At 36.6% G+C, this 26,831-nt stretch overlaps 1 long non-coding RNA gene across 12 annotated transcripts in view; it reads left to right on the plus strand.

Moving 5' to 3' along the window:
- The first annotated feature begins 2,002 nt into the window (after positions 1 to 2,002).
- The window catches only part of LOC101928721 (uncharacterized), a 60,301-nt gene continuing 35,472 nt past the window's right edge, over positions 2,003 to 26,831 (plus strand). For 4 of the 12 annotated variants that reach the window (NR_188349.1, NR_188347.1, NR_188350.1 and 1 more), the window contains exons 1-2: positions 2,678 to 2,758; positions 7,034 to 7,086. This is a non-coding gene — a long non-coding RNA (uncharacterized LOC101928721). Of the gene's footprint in view, positions 2,415 to 2,677; positions 2,759 to 5,585; positions 5,705 to 6,860; positions 7,087 to 26,831 lie in introns of those variants that run through there. The other 8 variants (NR_188351.1, NR_188352.1, NR_188348.1 and 5 more) reach the window with 5 other exon arrangements.

Genomic DNA, 26,831 nt, shown 5'->3' on the forward strand with positions numbered 1-26,831 from the left:
TTTTTAATTTCTCAAATTATGGACAGTTTAGCAGTTTCTTTAGAAATTAAATTAAAATAAAAAAGAAGAAAGTGGGTAAAATAATAATTAAGCTTAACTCCAATCCAGTTCTTCATAAGCCTTCTAAAATACCTTGCAAATGTTTTATTTCAGGCAAATTTAGAAAGCTACTTGTACAAGTGCATATTAAAAGAGTGTCAAGGGAAAAATGCAAATTTGCATGCCTGAGGCAAAGACTGTGCCAGAATGCATGGAGGATACAGAGAAATCGGATGCTAGATTGGGCACATTAGCTTACAGTGTCTCCCATGTGCAGGGGACAGAAGAGCGGGGAATTGGGAGTGGGACTTTTCTTTTACCATTTAGTGACTAAGTCTCCATTTTCCTTCCTCTGCCCCCTTGTCATCCCTTCGCTGACTTCTGATTCACTACCATCCACTTCTCCTTTCTCTTCCTCCCCTTGCTTTCCGCTTCCTTCTCTCAGTCCACAAAATGTCACCAGGGCAGCTAGCAAGGGAAAAAGATAAAGGGATTCAAGTCCCATTTCCACCTCAAACCCAGAGCAGAACCCAGGACTAGGATGAGGCTGAAAAATGAAGGTGCAGATGGAAATAAAACTAATTATATGGGCAATATTTATACTTTATTTCTTAGCCCTCTCCATGAAGGTTTGCCTTTTCGTTTCCAAAAATGATCAATAAGAATACTATCTAAGGCTTTCAAAGTAAATGAAATCATATAAAAATGTACAATCAAATCATATACAAATTTCTCAACCTTCTTGGATATATAGGCTTTGTGACATGAAATATTTTTAGATTTTAATGTTACCAATGAAGATTTATGCATCCATTAGCAACTTAACCAATAGCCTCAAAATGGGGCCTTGACAACAATTAGAGGGCCTTCCCAGGGCCAGGCACTGGGTGTTGTGCATGTGTTGTCTTACTTAGTTCATACACCAACCTTGCAACTTACGATCTTTTCTATCCTCAATTTATAGTTGAGAAAACTGGATCCTAGAAAGATTAACTAATTTATTGAAAGTCAGATAATCTATGTCAGATCTGGGATTCAAAACTTCATCGTTTGAATACATAGCCTAAACTTTTAAAAGCAGTACTCATCCAAAATTGACCTCCTGATCATCCTTCTATGGCTGTCCAATCATTTTCTCCACTTCTAACACCTCAGAGTTACCAAGCATCCAGTCTAAATGAATCTCTGTCTTCTGCCTCCTCTTTCATCTAAACATTTTACTATCTAGTCCCCTGTTATAACCCACTCTGTGAGAAACAGACATAGCCATCAAGGGCCCTGCCCAAGACAAGAGGTCTCATGAGTCCAGTCTCTTAAAGTGGTTCTGGGGCATGATCCAGAGTTTCTATCAAAAGTCAAGCCCCCTCAGTTCCTGCAGCTGTAATCAGCCTCTATGCAAAAAATAGGTAGACACATTAGATACATGTAATCAAGTGACCAACGGGAAGAATGATCAATGCAGATAGTTGGAGAAACACAGTGGTCCGTCCAGCTGCCATTCAACAGAGACAAGAAATAAGCGAGTTTTGGGAATAAAAAAGAAAAGAAAACATCTGACTAATGGAGGTATGAAGTTCACTTTTAGGAATTGCAGTAGTAGATACATGGACCTGAGACGAGAAGTCTTCTTCCGATAGAAGGTTTTTCTTGATCGAAGGGTTTGTGATCTCACGGGAGGAATGAAGCTGTGGACCACAGTGGCGAGTGTTACCGCTCAGTTAGAGAAACACGCAGACCCAAAGAGTGTGCAGCGGCAAGATTTATTAAAGCGAAAGTGAAAGTAAAACAGAAGCAAAACTAAAGCTTCCATGTGGTGAAAGGGGACCCTGAAGGGTTGCTGTTTCTGGTTGGGTGTCTTATGCTTATAGCCCCTTATGACCCCTCCCCATTTCCTTTTTCTGCCCTATAGAATTAGCTTATTTTCTATCCACTTGTGGGCTAGCGGGCTTGATTGGTTAAAAACATCAGGCTGTAGCTAGAGCTTAAACTCCCTATATGATTGGTTGAAGTTTCAATCCCTTAGCTTGCAGCTATGACTCATTTGGGCTTAGGGGAAAGTCCACTTTGATTGGTTGAAGTTTCAATCCCTTAGCTTGCAGCTATGACCCATTTCGGCTTAGGGGAAAGTCCCCTTAGGGAAGTCCCTATTGACCCAGGAAGTCCAGCCAACTTAGCCACTTAGTCCCTCAGCCCTGGCTTGTGGAAGCAGAGATTCCTAATACGGCCCTCACTTCTCCACTTTCTCCACTGGGGTTGGAAGCAGTAGGAGTAGCTATAGAGGATGTATTAACACCAATTTACAGAGATCCTATTGAATTTACATCTCTCCAGCAGGTGTGATGCAAGGAAAACAAAGCTAATACCCAAAGTCTTTGGTAAGGACTAGCTCCAGGCACTGCATGATGTGGATATTTAAAGAATTGCTGACCCCAAAATCCTGGTATTAACCCAAGAAATCCTGGCGTAACCCAAGAAAATATCTTGGGTGCCATGGAGGACGAATAATGGAGTTTAGGGCTAAGTCCATTAGAAAGAAGCTCTATGTGAGCTGAGTCCCTGGTATCAGGGTATCAGATTGGAACAGGATAATAAAGTAACCTTAATACTGGAAGAGCAAGAATTCTTACAGTTGAGAACCGTTACTTGACTGGTACCTCCAGCCCACCAGCAGGCAATGATGGCATCAGACTAGAGGATCACCAGTAAATCATTGTAAACAGTGAGCAGACTTTCCAATGTTCTCTACTAGTGATAGGAGCCAACACAGAAACTTTGTATCAAGAGGTCCAAGATTTATGAAGTTGTCAAACTAAAAAGACCTCTCTCAGAAAAGAAAAACTGTTTTTGCAATTGCATTTTGTAATTTAGGAGCCAATGTCATACAAATTGCCTATTAGAAATGAATAATGGGCCAGGAGCAGTGGCTCACACCTTTAATCCTAGCACTTTGGGAAGCCAAGGCAGGTGGATCACTTGATGCCAGGAGTTCGAGACCAGCCTGGCCAACATGGTGAAACCCAATCTCTACTAAAAATACAAAAATTAGCTGGGCTTGGTGGTGCACGCCTGTACTCACAGCTACTCGGGAGGTTGAAGCGGGAGAATCGCTTGAACCCAGGAGGCAGAGGTTGCAGTGAGCCAAGATCACGCCACTGCACTCCAGCCTGGGTGACAGAGTGAGATCCTGTCTAAAAAAAAAAAAAAAAAAGGAATAATAGAGTGAGACCATGTCTCAAAATAAAAAAATGAATAATGATTCATTTTGTATACTCCAAACTAAAGAAACTCACATACACACACACTTACCCAAAACTATCTTAGCGTTTCCAAGGTCCCATCTGCAAGTCTATCTTTATTTATAGCAGACATCATGGATACAGAAGGGCTTGGTTCAGAGGTGTCTTCGTAAGCCTACTTTGTTTAGTTTTTCTTTCCCAACTGCAGCCAAGGTGTTCATAAGCAGAAGGTCTCTCCGTTACTGTCCAAGATGTGTCTTTTTACTTTTCTGGAACATGAGAGATGCTGAGTCAATGCTTTGCTTTCTACTAGCTGAGAACCTCAACTGGGCTTTCCTGGGGCTCATTTTGTCCCCCAGTAGCTGATGTCAGTACAGCAACATTGGGGCTGCCACTTCCACCTCACCTCAGGATTCCCTAGTTGCTTAAACCATGTATATACAGAAGGTCTCACAGCCCATAAGGCTGAACAAACGCCACATTTACATGCTTGATTTAAAATCCTGAAAGATAAAGCTTTTAGACACTGGCTAATAATAAATAATAAACCAATTAATTTGTTAACTTAGACTTCATAGAAGTAGAGGTCCAAGTACCAGCATGAAACTGAGAAGATGCACCTCCTTCCTGGAAATGGTCAAGTCCCATTTTCTAGATGAAACTCTGCCACTTAATAATTGTACTTCTTTTAGACAGTTACTCTCATTTTTTTTCTGTAAAATTAGAATAGTAATAGGAGTATTACTCAACCCTACAATATTTCTTAGAATTGTTATGAAGATTAAACCAATTGATACATATAAAGTGCTGATCACAGTGAGAACCTATGACATTGATGAAGAGAGGCTAAGGGACCTGCCCGAAAACCCACAATGCCTATCTGTGTGGGCAAATGGAAGGGAAGGCCCACGTGGATGCATGACTTCTTGTCTCCCACTGAGAACCAGGTCCCTTTAGCTAGCCTGGCTCACAGGTGGGAATGGTTCAAATGATGAGAAAGAGAAGTTAAAACCCAAGCAAAGAGACCTGGCTCCATCAATTTTCTTCCTTTCACTCCCCTTACAAGAATAAATATAGTGCCTGAAGCCACTGCAGTGACACAGAGGTCTCTTTATTTTAAAGTTGACAAAAGGGAAAAGATCCTTTTCTGAATTTTGCTTATTGGTCAAAATAAAAATAACCCGGTTCTGCCACGGCTAAATTTGGATGACTTTTTCTATCCTGCCTCTCTCCCTGGTATATCCCAGTTTACTTATCCATCCTTCAGCTCCTTCTTCAATTCCATGGAGACTTACACTTTAACTTTAAAACTGAACTTTGACATTATTTGGAAGCAGAATCAGAGCTGATGTGAGCACTGTCAAACATAGGAGAGAGGATGAACAGTTAACAGAGTTGGGCAGGGTTCTGGGACCCTTGCCAAGTCCCTAGCCTAGTATTTGGCACATTAAAGATACCTGGAAAAAAAATTAGCTGCCTTCTTTAGTAAGTTTGCTTAAGAATCTTTAATCTGATTTTTCTATCATCAATGCACTCATAATGCATAGGAAATGCCTTCACATAAATAAGTAATGGGCAATTAGAAGGGAGAGACCACTGCCACACTAATAAGGCACTTTAATACAAATAAGGTAAAAAAAAAAAAAAACCTGCTAAGGTTCACGCAGCACCGTGCCAGGGCCTATGGCTTAGGTTGCATAACATAAGCTTCATTTCAGATCCCACTTGCTCCTTTAGCCCCAGACACCTTTGTGCAGAGAAAACAAAACAAAACAAAAAACATCACTTTACCCATCAGTGCTGGTGCTCAGTAAATGTCTCCATATGATACACTTCCTCATTGACCTTTTTAATCCAATTTTGTTTATGTGACAAGTGGTTAGTAACAAGAATCTCAATGAACTCTTGAGTGGGATGGGGCCACAATTTTATAACTACAATTACAAGGTCAGGTAGCTACAGCAAAAACAATAGAGTGCAGGGAACAGGAAAATCATGGTTCATTTTCTCTGAACATCTACTGGCATGGTTGTTAAGGGCTTTCTATGTACTGTCACATTTAATATTCACAAGAATCTGTCAGGTACATTTCCATCTTACAAGTGAGAAAACATTAAATGAGAGAAGTTTGTTAACTGGAAATTGCTGAAGCAAAGATGTGACCCCACTTCAGTCTAACTATTATTTCCCAAAGTACTAGACTGATAGAATATGAAATATTTTAGGTTTGACTTGACACTCAGGTACAACAATAAGCACCATGGATTCACCTGATAAACTGTAATTCTCTTTCCATTTTTTTCTCAATAGTTCTTGAATATGAGTCAGTCTGGTATGAACATACCTCTAACAGCCTCGCATACACACTTGCTGATCTCCCCCTTACAAGCAACAGAAAACAGGTCTTGACCCAGAGCCTTCAACAAACAGTATCTAGATAAATCATCACAATTTTACTCACAGTTGTTATCTTCTATTTATGCCAAATGATAACAGTTTTCCACTTTCCACCTATGATGCAAAGTTTCCATTTTAAATAAAATCAAGTTATAAAGAAAAAATATTAAGGAAATAACAATATGATATGTTCAGCATGGTAGAAATGATTAGAGTGGTAGTCAAAAGTGCTCAGATATGGAAAATATCAGGTATATGTTAAGCCAACAACTAAGAATTGGGAAATAGTACCTTATACCACTAGCCATTTGCACAGGCCTTGGTGTCAAGAAATATACAAGCTTATATCCCAGTTTTGCTGGTTACTAGCTGTGTGACCTTGGAAAATCATTCAGTCTCTCAGCCTCAGTTTTCTCTTCCAAAAATAGTTTATAGTAATGACTTTCAAGGTATCTTTATGATAGGTAAGTGAAATAATTTTGGTTACTACACCTTAACTGCTTGGCACATAGTAGGTGCTCAATAAATATTAGTGTCTTCTACTCTCTCCCTTCTTCCTAGTTAACAGAGTTGGTAGAAGAAGGATTAATTCTCATTGTCTTACCAAGAACTCTTTTTTAACTTTTTTCTTTTTTAAAATTTTTTATTAAAAATTGAGTAAAGTATTTATAAATATATATTTGGCAGAAAGCAAAACAAGTCAACTAACAAAAAATTCATCTATGCCATTACTTTTGTAGTTCTTACATGTCCCTTTCTTTCCCCTTCCCACTAAGAGCAAACCAGTGTTCTAAGTTTTGGGTTTCCTTTTCCTTGTTGTCTTTATAGTTTTATGGTCCCTGATGGCCATTTGAAAGCATCACCTTCCTGATGACTCCTCTTAACACTATTACATCACAGAATAATGACCCAGAACCATAGTAGTGGCCTTGAATTTTCGTTAAGCTTTGTGTTTGGGCTTACAGCAATTTGAGTTTAATTCTAAATAATATACCTTTCTCATTTTCCAAAACAATATCATAAAACACAGAATGTGGCTTAAAAATTTATACAGCATCGGTAACTTGCATATGGAAAGTGTCCTAGGTAGAATCAGAGTCTCACAATTAGAGTGGGGAGGTTCTGATTCACACGGTCATTCAGGGAGCAAGTGTATACCCATATTTCTGTTGCATTCCCATCCCCTAGGACATTTTTCTTGTCTGTATGATCAAAGTTGGGTCCTGGACACAACCATATAATATCTTGCAGAGCGTGGAAAGAGAGAAAGTCCACTTTAAGCGATGGAAAATCAGCCCCAATTCTGAAGGAACAACCATGAACAGATGATTTAAGGAGAATCAATTCTTTGCTCTTTGCAGAAGGAGCCAACAGAGTGAGATGAAGGGGACAACTTCAGATACTCAGGCAGAAGGTAGGCTACAGTGATGTAAGTCCAGCATCTTTATTTATTTTTATTTATTTTTTCATTTTTTAATTTCCATAGGTTTTGAGGAATGGTAATATTTGGTTACATGAGTAAATTCTTTAGTGGTGAGTTGTAAGATTTTGGTGCACCTATAACCTGAGCAGTACACTGAACCCAATTTGTAGTCTTTTATCCCTCACCGCCTTCCCATCCTTTCCCCTAGAGTCCCAAAGTCTATTGTATCATTCTTATGCCTTTGCATCCTCATAGCTTAGCTCCCAGTTATGGGAAATCCAGCATCTTTAAATGATGCCTTGAGACCATATTCTCCTGTGCTTCCCCTGTGAACAAGTAATGATGGATCTAGTAGTTACTACCATGATGTAATGCATGACAGTCCACCACAATCATGTTTCCTAGCCATGCATAACGACAGGAAAAATGACAGATAAGTAAATATACCAATCTAGGCCTAAGGACAAGCATTTGGTTCTACTATTGCCTTTTTGTCCACCTGACCCAATTAGGCGGCTTCATATTTTTTAAAAGTTCAGTGTCTATCTGTAAGTCCCATGAATATATGATCCTAGAATTTAGAAATTATTTTATAATTTGTATTTAATTTACATGGATTAGAATGTTATTAACTACCCTTGGTGCTCATGAAGCATCTTTTCCCCTAATATATCTTCTGCAGTGCAACTTAATAGTGAGTCCCCATAGACAGAAAAATCTATTTGAAGAAAATATTTTAGCAGTTTCTCCCATGAACAGTTTTTTGTTTGTTTGTTTGTTTTTGCCTCCAGCTTCAGTAAAACAAGTTGTAAATAACTTTATAGGCAAAACTTTGGTCCCTGGTTAATCATGAGATTTTTTTTTTCTTTGAAGGCTAGTAATGATATTGATGAGGAAGAGCAGCTCGCTCTACAAAGTTATTTAGGGGCCCAGATGTGTTCCGTCTTGCTCTGCCATGCCCTCCTGTGCTATAACTCTTCTATTTATATGGTAGTCCTTACACACATGGTTGCAGCTGTATTGTCAACACGACATATATACCTGAGAGGGGAGAAAAAATTCCATGGCAAGCATTTATCTTTTGAGACACTGCAATTTGAGACAGTTACAGTGATATTACATACATTACTCCCATTGTTCAGAACTAGTAACATCAGCTTGCCAGCTACAAAGGAGAGAGGAAAATGTAGTCTCTAGTTTCTCATTCAAGGCCTAGGTAAAATGCTATTAAGATGGAAAAGGAAAATAAAATGGGAAAAGACTACAAAGTCTACCGCATGCAATAAACAAGTATACAATTAAATACATAGTATGGCAGATAATGAACAGTACTATGGAAACTGTCTATATATACATATGTATATATATATGAAAACGAGTGAGAGGTTAATATCATTTATTTTAAATAAGGTGTTCAGGAAAATGCCTTCTGGACATGTTAGTAAAATGATGGCAGAAGGACCTCCAAAAACGATCTCCTCCACAAAAGTAATGAGAAAATTGACCAAAAAAAAAAAAGTCAGAATCATTTCTTCAAAATACTGGAAAAAATAACAAAAATCTTGAAGTAACACAGGGAGGATTTATTCAAGAAAAATAAATGATCTCAGCAAGAACAGTGAGTGTCCTAATCTTATCTCCTGCTCTACAGCTCTGCAGTACCATTGAGAAAAAACAGCCCACATTTCCACTGTAGCCCAGAAGCCATCAAAGGGAGTACAAAGGAGCTGCAACTTTTTAAAAAGCTTCATTCCAAAATAATTGTCATTATCTGAGCAGTCTGGTGGTTCTCTGAAATATATCAGTTACAAGGCCACCTGTACTTGGCCTGTTTAGGAGCTCACCTAGTGCAAAAATTATTTTCCCTGAAGAATATTTATCAAAAACAATTACTGGAAAGTGTTTTAACTTTGTGGTTGTCTTAGGCAGTGGATAACAGGAGAAACAGTGACTAAAAATTTAAAAGGAAAAGCTGAGAAATGACATGTCAATACAGTCTTTGAAAAAATCTCCAACATAATTTTTGTTATTTAGAAAGTCATATAGGGTTGTGCACATTCTCAGGGGTGTGGTAATGCTCAGAAAATCCTTAAGAAGTCCCATATTACCACCTCTGGCTGACCATAGGGACCTGTGCAATGAGAAAGTGAGAGCTAAGGCAGAGTTGTCAATTGCCTAACTGAATGTTGAGGGCCTGCTTTGCAACAAGCACACAAAGCCCCTCAGCAAAAGCTGGAAGATGTATTGGTTCCAGACTTTTAAGGAAATTATCCAATCATTAGCTGAGCACTAAGGTAATAGAGTAATCTAAAAGACCACATGTGACAATAAATATGGACTTTACCAAATTAACTCAGAAAATTACTAAACAAACATACAAGACTACTACAGCAAACAGCAGCATCAAATCCTGGAGAAGGGGGAGAATTTTATTTCTAGAATTGTCATATTAGATTATTTTAGATGTCCAGTTTCAAACAAAAGATTATGAGATGGAAATACCTAAGAAAGTGTGACCCATGCATAAGAAAAAAAGCAATAGCAACTATTCCCAAGGAAGCCCAAAAGTTGACTTACTAGATAAATATTTTTCTACCAGCTATATGAAATATGTTCAAAGACCTCAAGGACATGATAGCTAAAGAACTAAAAAAAGGTATGAAAACAATGACTTAACAAATATGGAATATCAATAGAGATAATCTTCGACAAACTTGACAAAAACAAGCAATGAGGAAAGGATTCCCTATTTAATAAATGGTGCTGGGAAAACTGGCTAGCCATATGCAGAAAACTGAAACTGGACCACTTCCTTACACCTTATACAAAAATTAATTCAAGATGGATTAAAGACTTAAATGTATACCCTAAAATCTAAAAACCCTAGAAGAAAAAATCTAGGGGATACCATTCAGAACATAGGCATGGGCAAAGACTTCATGACTAAAACACCAAAAGCAACTGCAACAAAAGCCAAAATTGAGAAATGGGATCTAATTAAACTAAAGAGCTTCTGGACAGCAAAAGAAACTATCATCAGAGTCAACAGGCAACCTACAGAATGGGAGAAAATTTTTGCAATCTATTCATCTGAAAAAGGTCTGATATCCAGAATCTACAAGGAACTTAAACAAATTTACAAGGAAAAAAGAAACAACCCCATTAAAAGGTGGGCAAAGGATATGAACAGATGCTTCCCAAAAGAAGACATTTACGTGGCCAACAAACATATGAAAAAAAGCTCATCATCACTGTTCATTAGAGAAATGTAAATCAAAACAACAATGAGATACCATCTCATGTCAGTTAGAATGACGATCATTAAAAAGTCAGGAAACAACAGATACTGGAGAGGATGTGGAGAAATAGGAATGCTTTTACACTGTTGGTGGGGGTGTAAATTAGTTCAACAATTGTGGAAGACAATATGGTGATTCCTCAAGGATCTAGAACCAGAAATACCATCTGACCCAGCAATCCCATTACTGGTTATATACCCAAAGGATCATAAATAATTCTACTATAAAGACACATGCACACATATGTTTATTGCAGCACTATTCACAGTAGCAAAGACTTGGAACCAACCCAAATGCCCATCAATGTTAGGCTGGATAAAGAAAATGTGGCACATACACACCATGGAACACTATGCAGCCATAAACAAGAATGAGTTCATGTCCTTTGCAGGGACATGGATGAAGCTGGAAACCATCATTCTCAGCAAACTAACACAGGAACAGAAAATCAAACACCACATGTTCTCACTCATAAGTGGGAGTCAAACAATGAGAACACACGGACACAGAATGGGGAACATCACACACCAGAGCCTGTGGGGAGTGAAAGGCAAGGGGAGGGGGAGCATTAGGACAAATACCTAATGCATGAGGGGCTTAGAACCTAGATGATGGGTTGATGGGTGCAGCAAACCACCATGGCACTTGTATACCTATGTAACAAACCTGCATGTTCTGCACATGTATCCCAGAACTTAAAGTATAAAAAATAAAAAATATATATATTCTGGAATTGAAAATAAAACTAAAATAAAAATTTACTAGAGTGGTTCAACAGCAAATTTGAGAGGGCAGAAGAAAGTATCAGCAAACATAGAGATAAGTGGATTGAAATGATTCAGTCTCAGAAAGATAAAGAACAATAATAACAAATTAGCAGTCTTAGAGAGCTGTTACAGATAACATCACCTGTACCAATATATGCATTATCGGAGTCCAGGAGGGGAGGAAAGAAAAAAGGGACAGAAAGAAAACTTGAAAAAAAGGACAGGAAACATAACAAATTTTATTTCAAAAGTTACATTAATCTATACATCAAAGAAGCTCAATGAACTCCAGATAGTTTAAACTCAATAAGGATTATAATCAGATGAGTCATTAACTGTCAAAGACAAAGAAAGAAAGAATCTTCAAAGCAGCCAGAAAGAAGTGATACATCATGTAAAAGGAATCCTCACTAAGATAAACAGCAAGTGTATAATTAGAAACTATTGAGGCCAGGGACAATGGAATGACATATTCAAGTTGCTAAAAGAAAAACAAAAATTTCACTCAATAATTCTAAATCCAGCAAAATTATCTTCCAAAAATTAAAACGAAATTAAGATATCGCCAAACAAAAACTGAGATCATTGTCACTGACAAAACAGCTTTAAGAGAAATGTTAAATGTAGTACTTCAGACTGACCTGAAAAGACACTAGACAGTAACATGAATCTACATGAAGAAATAAAAGATACTGGTAAAAGTAATTATACAGGTAGATGTAAAAGAGAGTATAAATGTATTTGAAATTTGTGATTACTCTTTTTTTCGTATCTGATTTAAAAGACAACTACATAAAGCAATAATTATATATGTGTGTTCATTTATATTACATACAATGTACAAAGACGTAATATGAGTGACAATGATAGCACAAAGGAGAGCAAAAGAAGTGGTGCAATATTGGAGAAAAGTTTTTGTACACTATGGAAATTAATTGGCATAAATCTGAAATAGACTCTTGTAAATAATAATGTTAATCATAATTATCAGGGAACAATTAAGAAAATAACATAGTAAAAGGAATGGTAAAGGAATTGCATGGTACACTAGAAAATATCTATGTAGCCCAAAGAAAGCAGGAATGGAATAATAGAGGAATGAAAAGACATTGAAAACAACTAGAAACATGACAGACATAAATCCTACCTTATCAGTGATTATAGTAAATTTGAAGGGATTAAACATTTCAATCAAAAAGGAAGCAATTAGTAGAATGGATAAAATGCTATGCTGTGACTATATTCCCTCTACAGAAGATACACTTTCTGTTAAAAGACACAATTGATTGAAACTAAACGGATGGAAAAAGACATACCATGTATACAGCAACCAAAGTGCTATAGTAACTTTCCTGATAGAAGACAAAATATACTTTGGAGGAAAACTATTACTAGAGACAAAAAGTACAATTTATAATGCTGAACAGGTCAGTCCATCAAGGAGATATAATTATAAAACTGTATGTCCCTAACAACAGAGACCCAAAATACATGAAGCAGAACTAGAAGAAGAAATAGACAATTCAACAATAATAGTTGGAGATTTCAGCACCTGACTTTCAATGATGAATAAAATAAGAAGATAGAAGATTAGCAAGGAAATCGAATATACAAATATGAACTCAAGATAGGTAAGAGATGGCTGGGCACGGTGGCTCACGCCTGTAATCCCAGCACCTTGGGAGGCCGAGGCGGGCAGATCACGAGGTCAGGAGATCGAAACCATCCTGGCTAACATGGTGAAACCCTGTCTCTACTAAAAATACAAAAAATTAGCCGGGCGTGGTGGCGGGTGCCTGTAGTCCCAGCTACTGGGGAGGCTGAGGCAGGAGAATGGTGCGAACCCAGGAGGTGGAGCTTGCAGTGAGCTGAGATCGCGCCACTGCACTCCAGCCTGGGTGCAGAGCAAGACTCCACCTCAAAAAAAAAAGATAGGTAAGAGACAAAAATGTAAGAGAAAAAAAGGATAAAACTCATAGTAGAAAACATAGGTATAAATCTTTGTGGCCTCGGATTAGGCAAAAGTTTCTTAGACAAGATACCTAAAGCATAAGCAACCAGAAAAAAAAAAAAAATATATATATATATATACTGCACTTCATTGAATTAAAAACATTTGTGCATCAAAGGACACTTTCAATAAAATTTAAAGGCAACGTACAGAATAGCCTACCTTACTTACAAGCCATGCATTTGATAAGATTTTAGATCCAGAACATATTTTTAAAACTCTTAAAGTTCAATAATAAAAAGACAACTCAGTGAGAAAAAAAATGGGTCAAGTATTTGAATAGCTATTACTACACAGGAGATATATAAAGTTCATAAAACACATGAAAAGATTATCTAAATCATTAGTTATTAGGTAAATGCAACCAAACCATAATGAGATACCCTTTCACACCAACTAAGATAGCTATAACAAAAAAGATGAACAATAACAAGTGTTGGCAAAGATGTGGAGAAATTGGAAACATACATTGTCAATATAAAATAGCGCAGCTACTTTGGTGAACATTTTGAAGGTTCGTCAAAAAGTTAAACATAAATTTACTATATGACCCAGCCATGCCACTTTTAGGCACATACAAAAGAAATGAAAACATATATTCACTCAAAAACTTGAACACAAATGTTAATAAGAGAATTATTCATACCATCTAAAAAGGTGGGAGCAACCTAAATGCCTATCAACTAATGAATGGATACACAAAGTATAGTATAACCACACAATGAAATATTATTCAGACATAAAAGGGAATAAAGTTCTGATACATGCTACAACATGAATGAACTTTGAAAACATTATGTCAAGTGAAAAAAAGCCAGACATAAAATCATACACATATTGTACAATTCTACTTGCACAAAAGGTCAAGAATATGCAAACTCTCAGAGACAGAAAGCTTAGTGGTGGCCAGGAGCCGGCAGGTGGCTGGGGAAGAGAAGAGATTGAGGAGTGACTGATCTATGAGGATAGGGCTTCTTTGGGAAGGTTACAAAAATGTTCTAGAATTAGTGGTAATGGTTTCATAAGCTTTTAATACACTGAAACACACTGAATTGTATAATTTTAAATGGCGAAGTTTATTATATGTGAATTATATTTCAATACAATAAAAGAAGGGTAGAAAAGAAATCCTTTTTTAGAAAGCAGCATTTGGAGAGAAATTTGAAGAAAGATAAGGAGTAATCTACCAGATATCCAGGAGAAAAAGAACACCAAATGATATTCAACAACAGTTTATTCAAAAGTTTAATAATTAATATTCCTCTTTTGATTTTTAAGTCTTTGTTACTGTCATGGAACAGTTTAATGTAGTCATATTTTGCGGAAAGAATGAGGAGAGTAAATAAAAAGGTAGGAGACTTAGAAAGAGGAGATTTAATTTTTGAATCATGTAAAAAGGAAAGTGGGAATTTTTGAAAATATAAGAAAAATTAGAGTAAACTTAAAAGAGCTGCAACGAGGAAAAAATATGAGAAGCATTGATATAGTGATAACAAAATTAAGCACTAAAATCAGGCAGATACGGATTATATCTCACCTCTACATCAGCTAGCCCTTTCTCTAGAAAAGTTTCCTTACTCTGTGTTCTTCAGTTTCCCATGACCTATACAGAAAACTGAGGAATAATTTCAAGAAAATAATATGGGAATAAGGTGAGAAAAATAACTACCTTACTGGCTTGCTGTGAGAGATGAGCAAGATGACTTAAGTAACCCACTGAATTTGACACCTGGTAGATTCTCAATATATAATAATTATTCACAATAATCATCTGAATGGACGCTACATGAGTTCTGAGGGGTCTTAAGTTTTAAGAAGTAAAATTATCTATTTAGATATGTGTTTTTAAAATTTGTAAGATATATGGAACATATTCAAAAAGACTTCACATTTTAATTATTTAAATATTAATTTAATTTTGGACATTTTAATTTTAATATAACAGCATAGAAGACTAATGCAGAGGCTTTGCCTATATTTTTAAGGTGATAATTGGTTACAAATTGACCTTTGTTGGAGAGATAAAAATGTATTTGGAGACTAAATTAAAAAAAATGCTTTCCACATGAACTCAATATTTTTAGAAAACAAGCATGTTATCCTTAAAACTATTTTGAGAATAACACTGTGGTGAAAAATGCTACCAAAAAAATTACTTTGCTAATTAAAGCCTATGAAACCAAATAACTGTTTTTAGACATTGATTTTGCTGGTTCACATCCTAAAGAGAAGTACTTCTCATGTTTCTTTCAAGTGAGATAAAGTTAGTGAAAAATCTGGCTAAGGGAGGATGAGAAGGAGTTTACGTATTTGAACATTTTTGCTGGCATATGCCAGAATATTTTTATAAACAATGCTAGGGAGATTGAAGTCTTCTGGGGATTAAAGGAAACCACGAAATAGAGAAAGAGCATGTCAGGGAAAGGGGCCATGTCCGTCCTCTGAACAGTCTCCAGCCAAAAGAACTTGGCCAGTTAACACCTTTGTTTCTCTTTTTCTAATTTTCTAAAATGAGAGGCTTTTACTTAATGGAATATGTAATCCCTCTTGATTCTAATTTTGTATTGTTCTGTGCAATATTTTCTCTTCTAGAAAAAAAAAATGCCAAGGCTTAATTCAGACTTTTCCTCTTTAGGTATTATTAAAGGTAGCTGTAAATTCCGGAGGTTGGGTCAAATTTGCCTTGGTGGATTATATGATGTTTCTCTCTTCAGTTTCTTTCTTTCTTTTCTTTTTTCTTTGCTGTTGTGATTCCTTCTGCCATTAAGAGAAGGCAACTAGAATTTCTGCTATAGGTCTCATTATACCTAATGCCAGAGGGATATTCAAAACACACAGCAACCAGTACAGCAAAGGTATGAAACAGCAAAAGACATTGGCCATGTAGACATACATCAGCCCTACCAAAGCTAGAGGCAAAACCTGATTGATTTAAGTGAAGCTCAGAAACATTTGTGTATGTGTTGATGAACATATACGTATATCAACCTAAATAACAAGCATAGAGAGATTCTGTAAAAGAAAATGATATTTATTCAGAAATAAGGCATTGCAATGGGACTACACATGCCATTGCAAACTATGTGCATATTCAGGAAGGTAAGAGAAGACAAAAATTTTTAAAGGAAAAATGCAGGTGGGTTACATAATTGTTTTCAGATAATTTCCCTTGGCCACAAGGCTCAATAGCAAAGGAGACACCAGTCTGAGATTGGACAGGTAGTAGCTGGGCATATGTTCTTATGATAGTATTTTTTGTGTGAGGTTGCAATGACCTTTGTGCGAGGTAGTTTTTACCAAACCTTTTGTTATAGTTCTGATATCAGGCATACCAGGGTAAGAAACCCTTTCTTTACAGCCTTCCCTGGCTCTATTTGCCTTTTTTTTCTTTTTTCACAAGTGATTTCATTTTGATTCTGGTAACTCTTACACATACATTTGATAAATTAGAATTGTATCAATTTCAAAACATATTTATTTTGTAAATGGAATTATTTTAATGTTTAAAATGCCCAAAGAGATAAATGAAGGAATAATATTCACTAAAACTGAACAGAAGTTATCTTTATCCAACCATCCATTGACCCTTAGGTTGATTATATGACTTTGTTATTGTGAGTGGTGCTGTGATAAACATACAAGTGCAGGTATCTTTTTAGCATAATGATTTCTTTTCCCTTATGTAGGTAGTAGTGGGATTGTTGAATCAAATGCTAGTTCTATTTTTAGCTCTTTCAGAAATCTCCATATTGTTATTCATAGACTTTGTCCTAATTTATATCCCAAACAACAGTGCATAAGCATTCCATTTTCTATGCATCCTCACCAACGTGTGTTGAACTTGACTTTTTAATAAAAGCCATTCTGGTTGGTGTAAGATGGTATCCCATGTGGTTTTAAGTTGCATTTCTCTAATGACTAACGATGCTGAGCAGTTTTATGTGTTTGTGGCCAGTTGTACATATTCTTTTGAAAAATGGCTGTTCATGTCCTTTGTCCGCTTTTTAATAGGGTTATATGCTTTTTCTTGAGTTGTTTGACTTCCTTTTAGATTCTGGATATTAGTCCTTTGTTGGATACATAATTTACAAATATTTTCTCCTTTTCTGTACATCATTTTGTCTACTCTGTTGATTATTTCTTTTGCTGCCCAGAAGCTTTTTTAGTTTACCTAGGTACCATTTGTATATTTTTGTTTTTGTTGCATTTGCTTTTGAGGACTTACTCATAAGTGCTTTGCTTTGCCCAATGTCCAGAAGAGTTTTTCCTAATTTTTCTTCTAGAATTTTTATAGTTTCATGTCTAACATGTAAGTCTTTAATTTATCCTTAGTTAATTGTTGTATATGGTGGGAGATATGGGTCCAGTTTCACTCATAGCTATCCAATTTTCCCAGCATCATTTATTAACTATTGTGTCTTTTCTCCAGGGTAGTTTAAAAATTTTTTTTTAAGAATAAAACCTACTGATGCATTCATCCAGGGTAGGTTTTTTTGACTTTGTTGAAAATAATTCAACTGTAAATATAGAGGTTTTAAATCTGGATTCTCTACTCCGTTTCATTGATTTATGTGTCTATTTTTATACCAGTACCATGCTGTTTTTGTTACTATAGCCTTGCAGTTTAATTTGAAATTGGATAAAATGACGCCTCCAGCTTTATTCACTTTGCTTGTGATTACTTTGTCTATGTGGGCTATCTTTTGGTTTCACATGAATTTTAGGATTATTCTTTTCTAATTCTGTGAAAAATGACAGTGGCAATTTCATAGGAATTGCACTGAAGCTGTAGATTACATTGAGCAATATGGTCATTTTAATAATACTAAGTCTTCCAATCAATGAGTATGCCATGTTTTTTCATTTGTTTGTGTCATCCACAATTTCTTTCATCAATGTTTTTTAGTTCTCCTTGCAGAGATCTTTCACCTCCTTGAGTAAATGTATTCCAATAATTTTTTTTTGGTAGTTACTATACATGGGATTGAGTTCTTATTTGGTGCTCAGCTGGATCATTACTAGTGTGTAAAAATGCTACTAATTTTTATACTTTAATTTTGTACCCTGAAACTTTACTGACATTATTTATAAAATCTAGGAGTCTTTTGGAGGAGTCTTTAGGATTTTCTAGGTATAAGATCATATAATATGAAAATACAGATAATTTGACTTCCTCTTTTCCAATTTGAATGCCTTTTATTTCTTTCTCTTGCCTGATTGCTCTAGGTAGGACTTCCAGTACCGTGTTGAATAGGGGTAGGGAAAGTGAGCATTCTTGTCTTCTTAAAATCCTCAGGGGGAAATGCTTTTAACTTTTCCCCATTCAGTATGATGTTGACTATGTGTTTCTTGTGTATGGTTTTTGTTATTTTGAGATTTTTTTCAATGTCTAGTTTGTATCCTGAAATTGTACTGACATTATTTACTTATAAAATCTAGGGATCTTTTTTCATGAAGAGATGCCTAATTTTATCAAATGATTCAAATGTTTTTTCTGAATCTATTGAGATGATCAGATGTTTTTTTGCTTTTCTGTTTATGTTGTGAATCACATTTATTAATTTTTGTGTGTTGAACCATTCATGAATCCCTGGAATAAAACCCAGTTGATAGTTGTTTATTTCTTTTAGATGAGTTGTTGGATTTGGTTTGCTAGCACCTTGTTGAGGATTTTTGCATTATATTCACCAGGGATATTGGCCTGTAGCTTTTTGTTGTTCTTTCCTTCTCTGGCTTTGATATCAGGGTAATACTGGGTTCATGGAATGAGTTAGAGGGGATTTCTGGTTCCTCAATTATTTTGGAGTAGTTTCTATAAGATTGGTAAAAGTTCTTCTGTGTATGTCTGGCATAATTCAGCTGTGAATCCGTCTGGTCCTGAGCTTTTTTTGGTTGGGAGATGTTTCATTACTTATTTAATCTCACTACTCCTTATTGGTCTATTCAGGATTTCTAGTCATTCCTGGTTCATGTTGAGAGGCTGTATGTTTCCAGGAATTTGCCTGTTTCCTTTAGGTTTTCTAGCTTGTGAGTGTAGATATGTTCATTGAAATCTCTGATGATCATTTGTATTACTGTGGTATCAGTTGTAATGTCTCCTTTTCATTTCTGATTCTGCTTATTTGAATCTTTTCTCTTTTTGTCTTAGTTAATCTAGCTAGTGGTCTATCAACTTTGTTTATTTTTCCAAAAGAGAAACTTTACATTTCATTGATCCTTTGCATTTTTTATCTCTATTTCATTTAGTTCTGTTCAGATCTTTGTTATTTCTTTTCTTCTGCTAGCTTTGGGCTTGGTGTGTTCTTGTTTTTCTAGTTCCAAAGATGTGATGTTAGGTGGTTAATTTGTAATCTTTCTATTGTTTGATGTAGGCCTTTCATTGCTCCCTCTTAGCACTGCTTTTGCTATATGTTGCCTCTATTTTCATTCAATTCAAAAAAAGTGTTGACTTTCACTTTCATCTAATTATTGACCAAATATAAGTCAAAACACATGGTTTGATTTCCACATATTTGCATAGTTTTGATTTCTAGTTTTCTTCCACTATGATCTGAGAATAATATACTTGATATAATTTTGATTTTTTTAAGTTTATCAAGACTTATTTTGTGGCATAACATATGGCCTATTTTTAAAAAAGATGCATGCACTAATAAGAATGTATATTCTGCAGTTGTTGGGTAGAATGTCTGTTAGGTTCATTTGGTCTAGAGTTCAATTTAAGTCTAGTGTTGCTTTGTTGATCTTCTGCCTTGATGATCTATCTAGTGCTTTCAGTGGGGTGTTGAAATCTTCAACTATTATTATGTTGCTGTTTATCTCTTTCCTTAGGTCTCTTAGTATTTATTTTATAAATCTGGATACTCTGATGTTGGGTGCATATATGTATGTACATATGTATATATGAATAATTATTATATTCTCATGTTGAATTGATCCCTTTATCATTATATGACCTTCTTTGTCTTTTTTTTTACTATTGTTGATTTAAGGTCTGTTTTATCTGATATGAGCATAGCTACTCCTGCTTGCTTTTGGTTTCCATTGCATGGAATGTATTTTTCCACCCACTTATCTTGAGTCCATAAGTGTCATTACCAGTTAGGTGAGTTTTCTTTCATCAGCATGTAATTTCATCCTGTTTTTGTATCCATGTCATCAATGTATATCATTTAAGTGGAGCACTTAGTCAATTTACATTTGAGGTTAATATTGGTGTGTGAGATTTTATTTCTGTTATAATGTTAATTGTTCCCTATTTACTTTGTAGTCTCAGTTGTGTAATTGTTTTATAAGACCTGTGAGTTATATACCTCTGTGTCCTTTTGTGATGGTGATTATTAACCTTTGGTTTCCATGTTTAGAATTTCTTTGAGTATTTCTCCCAGGACTAGTCTACAGGTGACAAATTCCCTTAATGTTTGCTTGTCTGGGGAAGACTTTATTTCTCTTTTATGTATGATACTTGGTTTAGTAGGATAAAAAAAAAATTCTTGGCTGACACTTTTTTCTTTAAGAAGACCAAAAATAGGACTCCAATCTATTCTAGCTTGCAGGATTTCTGCTGAGATCTGCTGTTAGTGTGATAAAATTTCCTTTATTGTTAATTACATGCTTTTCTCTTGCTGCCTTTCAGATTTTTTTCCTTCCTGATCACTTTAAATAGTCTGACGACTATATGCCTTGGTGGTCTGTCTTGAAAAAGTATCTTAAAGGAGTTTTCAAAGCTTCTTGTAGGTATAAATCTATAACTAGAATAGGAAAGCTTTCCTCAATTATTTCCTCAATTAGGTTTGTTAAACTTTCTATTTTTTCTTTTTCTCTCTCAGGAATACATATGACTTGTAGGTTTGAATGTTTTACATAATCTCATATTTTTCAAAGGGTTTGTTCCCTTTTTAATTTTTTTTATAAAATTTTTGTCTTACTATGTTAATTTGAAGATCTGTTCAAACTCTAAAATTCTTTTCTCTACTTGGTCTAGTCTACAGTTAAGGCTTTCAACTGTATTTTGTAATTCCTTCATGACTTTTTTGTTTCCAGAAGTTCAGAGTGTTTTTCTTTTTTAATCTATCTCTCTAGTGAACTTTTCATTTGTACCCTCCTGGGGCTCATGACTCTCAATTCAGATAGACACTGCTGTTTATCCCCTGGCCACAATGTAGCTAAGAGCCATAGAAAATAATTGTTCTATGGCACTCTGCCAAATGGCTTTGACTTGGAACCTCTTCCCTCAGTCTAAAACAGATAGCTTTGAGACCTGCCTGTTTTCCACTGCAAGAATGCTGCTGCTCCATGTGTAGAGGGAGAGGGGCTCTGCCTTTCACGCATTCCCAATCCAGTGGACACTCAACAGTGGAGGAGGTGCAGCTGCTCTTATTAGCCCTGGAATGGCCATCCACAGGTGTGTCCATGCCTCTTCCCTGTGGGATCAGCCACGTCTGTGTTTGCAGCAATGAGCAGGGTGAGGAGAAGTTCCCTTCTCCACATCCACGTCCAAGCAATGGAGCTGCCTAGATTCTAGGACAGAACACACTCCTCCCCCACAGGACTGAACACAGTGTCTGTGTATCCACTAGGAAAGGGGAAGTCACCTTCAGCCCACAAGTGTGGCACTCTGGAGGCACAGCAGAGCACATGTTCTTGTCTCCTTTGTTCCAAGGGGGCTTTGTTGGTGTGCTACACTCTCTCTTCCCCTAGGAGCAGCATGGCCCAAGGGCCAGATCACTGGGAATTCTGCAGCTTCCCTGGGTTCAGTCAGCCCTGTCTGGCTACCTTAATTTGAGCAGGTGCTTTGGAATGTTTGCAGGGGATCCAATGATGTGGCAACAAAAGGGCTGAGATTCCCTAGGCAGGACAGTCCCACAATGGGTATGCATCAACCCACCACTGCTCAGGTGTGGCAGAAGAGTGAGCAACCTTGCATAAACTGGCAGCCCAGTGCAATGCCCTCAAGAAGTTCCCACATCACCACTCACACCAGTGCCTGGGCTCATGATGGCAGAGGGGCTCTCCAACAGTTCAGCAATCAGCAGCCTACTGCAAGGGTGACAGGAGCCAGAAAACCCCGCCTACCCTGTTCACCAGACACCAAGTCCCTTGAAGCTCAATCTCTGCCAAACCCTTGCTTGTTTTTTTTTGTTGTTGTTGTTTTTTGTTGTTGTTGTTGTTCTGTGCTTTAGCTTGTCTGGTAGGCTCTGGCACTCTTCTCTTAATATTCTATTCAAGTTATGATTATTCATCTGTAAGTTTGGTTCTTCTTTCTGAGGAGAACTGGCCTCTGACATCTCTAGTCAGGCATCTTGGAAAAAATCTCTATTTTTATTTTAAGGGGAAAAATATTAAGTAGCACATTTCAATTTAAAAATTCTTAACCAATTTACAATTTTTATAAAATGAAACTAAGACACAGCAATATGTGTATATGCAAAAGTAACAAATTATAATAGTAAGATATGAAATGCTGAAAACATTGCTTCCTGATTATCAATTATTAAATAATATGGTTGTTAACAAACAATACCTTTATATCCAATGACATCATCTCGAATCTGCTCCTAATTAAGTTTCCTCTGGTCCTGCTAGTTCTTGTTTCAGGAATAATATGTGAATTGAGGGGAATTCTCATGACCTCTTGCTGAAGTTGGTGGAGGTTGAGTGGGGCTTTAAAATTCAAACCTTCTACTTCAACTACTAGGTCACTTGCTCATATGCTCATTGTTTTAACAATGGCTGTGTGTTTCTTTTCCTAGCTGTGTGTTTCTTTTCCTACTAGGGCATCGCACTCTGTTTCAGGAGCTGTTTGAGTACAGGCAAAGATAGTTGTTGTTTAGCTATCAAGTGTGAAAAGAGGACAAAGGAGCAAAGGAGTATTGCAAGAGCATCTTTATAGTGACAAATATTAAGTCTTCTTTGGCAAAGAGGGAAGTGAACAAAAAAGAAGGTTGATGGACAGGAATGCACTGGGGAGACACAGACTCTGGGAAGGAGTAGTTTAAATGGTACTTTAAAAAATATTCAACCTTTCTTCTATGTCTCGGGAATTAAGGTATGGGTGACAGCATTGGAGGATAAGCTTACGCAAGAATAAATTATTTGAATTGGTGCTATATTTGCTTTCAGTAGAAATGTTGCAGTTGATTAATCCATAAATCAATAAAATGTTAAGAAGGATGAAAATCACATTGGAAGTAAATTAATTAGAAGACTTTAGATAGTCTAAAAACTGAATCATGATGAGGTGGCAGGTTGTCATTTCTCATTAAGCCTTTTCACAATAATAAATAAAAGAGTGTATTTTTGGAGACAAGAATGTGCTGCTAGAATTCAATGCTTCAAGATATGAGGGCATGAAAGAGAGCAGCCGAAAAGAAAATGAAATAAATAAATGTTTTCTCTCTTTAATCTGCCCGAAATGCAGTCATGTAATGATGGATGGCTCAATTTATTTAGCGTACTCTGCACAGCAAAAGGCAGGTTGGTTTCCATAGGTATTTGCATAGTTAGAAATCTTTGTTCCATTACTTGACTTAAAGAAGTAACATGTCATCAAATATTTATTTCTTATACGGTAATGTAGCTTCTCAGTGGTGTCATATGATATGAAAGGGAAAAATGAATATAGAATAAAGTAAAACAGATCCTAAAACTTTTCATAATAAAGATTTCTAAACATAAGGCCCATGAATATCTGAACAATAGTTTTAAATATCAATGATTGCATCCCACACACTTTCAATCTCTTTCCAAGGCATTTCCTCAGACCACCTGACCCTTCCTTATTCAAACTAGATTGGTATATTATTGCCACAGGAGAGAATATATAGCCAAACTCAGGTTACAAGGGAGTCCTCTCCATGAAAATCTAAAGTCTCTTGAAATTTATGGCAGAGGCATTAGCTTGAAGAAAAGATGTTTTGAGAATCAAACCAAAGGTCCTGAAGGATTCGAGACATAAAGTTTATGCCATAAAAAATACATTTGAGAGAATGATGAAGGCCAGGATAACCTTGTCCCCTGAATAAGAATTCTATAAAGTAGCCAGGGAGCATGAGTTGCCAAGGGAAGAAAGAGAAAACATACTTCAGTGCATCCCGGATGAGGAGCCTGTGTCTTACGCCCTCACCCAAGGTCCAGAAGCAATTGAGGAGTTTTGCAAAAGTGGGTGTAAATTGCCTTTGATTCTGATTATATGTTATATGCACTAGGAGAGGTAAATTTTTTAAAGTACTCATGCAGATTTGAAGAATTGAAAGCAGAGGTTCCAAATCTGTAGGTGAAGGAAAAAAAAAAAAACATTGCTCCCCATGACTAGGGAGCAGCCAAGGGAAAATGGCTATGACATGTAATTAGGTAGACACACCTCAAGCAGCCTCAGAGAGTTCTCATGCTTTCCAGTGTGGCACAGGAAGCAGTAGAACTTTTCCTTATGTGGCATAGAATGGTGAGGGCGTGACTCAGAGAGCTGAGATCCTGGAAAGTCCTAGTGGTTGAGATGATGGGGACACTGAAGTCATCTGTATGAACAAAAAGCAGACAACAGAGAATGCTGAGGGTGTCTTAAAGGAACATCAGCATGGATGCCTGAGACTAGATGTTCCCTACTTCCACCGTGCCACATCCTCATTCTCACACCTTGGCACTAGTTCAGACTCTGAAGAACTTAGGAAAAATATTGACATCGTTGGGAGTAAAGCTAATGATTAACCAGTAAATTTGGGCTGGGCACAGTAGCTCACACTCTTAATCCCAGCACTTAGGGAGGCCAAGGCAGGAGGATTGCTTGAGTTCAGGAGTTTGAGACCAGTCTGGGGAACATAACAACACCCCATTTTACAATACAATTGTTTTAAAAAGAAAATATTAGGTAAATGTGTTGGCACATGCCTGTAATCCCAGCTACTCGGCAGACTAAGACAGGAGGACTGCTTGAGGCCAGGAATTCAGGGCTACAGTGATTATAGCCTAGGAAACAGCAAAGCCCTATCTCCTAGGAAAAAAAAAGAAAATCGGAAATTGACTAACAATACCCAGACGGAACTTCATCAAGAGGCATGGGGGAACATGAGAAAAAAAATTAAAATTTTTCTTAGCAAAAATATAAAGTTAGATGTTTTTGTTTTCCATTCAGGAGTTTGTGCTTGGGAAGTCAACAGCATCTTTGAGTACACACAAAATCCAGATCAATAAACAGATACACTATGGGGTGAATATTCCTTTTGTAAAAGTGTTCTTCACTATGGAATAATGTACCAGAGAATGCTTTTAAAAATCCAATACTCTTTTAGTGCATATAACACATAATTGGAATTACAGAAATGCAGTTTACATAAACTTGTAAGAAGATAATCAAATGTCTAAAACAAAGCCATTTAAAACCTGCCATTTCTTTGGAGTGTTTAACAAAATTCGGGTATCCATCATTCTGTAGGGCTTAAGAAACTGGTGCCTGTTTTAGTCACAATCCAGTAAGAAACAGATGATATTAACATGAATGAGCAAAGGGACAGGCCTATGGGTATCAGAAAGAGGGGACAACCTGCTAAGATGTGACGGCAGGGCCTGAGCCCTCAGTTGTGGCATCTGGAAAGAAATTCAGGCCATTATCCTTAGCAAACTAACACAGGAACAGGAAACCAAATACCACGTATTCTCACTTACAAGTCAGAGCTAAATGGTGAGAACACATGGACACATAAAGGGAAACAAAACACAAGAGAACCTTTTGGAGGGTGGAGAGGGGAGGAGGGAAAGGAAAATAACTAATAACTCATCGGTATTAGGCATAATATCTGAGTAAGGAAATAATCTGTACGACAAACCCCCATGACATAAGTTTGCCTGTGTAACAAACCTGCACTCGTACCCCTGAATTTAAATAAAAGTTAAAATAAAAAAGAAATTCAACTGATTCCTTTTTCCAATGAACATATGAGAAACACAATAATTAGGGACACATGCACACAACCTTGGCACTAGGACAAAAAAAAAACTAAACAAATAAATTCTGTAGGAAGTTGAAGAGGGCTGAATAGGAATCACTATAGGTTAGTGAATAGAATCAGCCCCTCTCAAGTCCATATTTATGGAATTCTTATTTCTCCTACCTATAGCTTGAACACAGGAGTCAGAAAACTCTTCCATTTGATTACTCTGTAATTTGCAGAAGACAACATATGATCTGGGGAAAAATAATGTTTATGGCTGCCTTTGAACTCCACCAATTAGCCTCATTGTACTCCTCTTACAGTACTCCTGTAAGATGCTCAGGGCTTCACCTACTGATCTGGGTTCTTTTTCCCAGGGCATAAAAGGTGCCAACAAATATTCAAAGATCATCCCATCCTGTAAGTCAGAAGCCAGGTTAAAGCAGAATATCTGGGTTGGCAGAATCTGAAATGAAAAGAGGATTTCCTTTTTCTCTTGCTTCCAGGCATGTACACTCACAGTTCTTATTCAGGACACCCCAAGGCTGCAGAATATACAGGGCAATGAAGTAATCACACTTGAGACTCTTACTATAGTATACTGAAAAATGCATTTATATAGCAGTATACGGCAAATTTTTGTTATTTATGGTAATAGTGTCCTAAAAGTCACCAAGAACACTGAATTAGTGAATACTAGACTATTGCTTCTAGGGGAAAACGGTTAGGTTCC

Source organism: Homo sapiens, chromosome 4, assembly GCF_000001405.40.
Source record: "Homo sapiens chromosome 4, GRCh38.p14 Primary Assembly".
Lineage (NCBI taxonomy): Eukaryota > Metazoa > Chordata > Mammalia > Primates > Hominidae > Homo > Homo sapiens.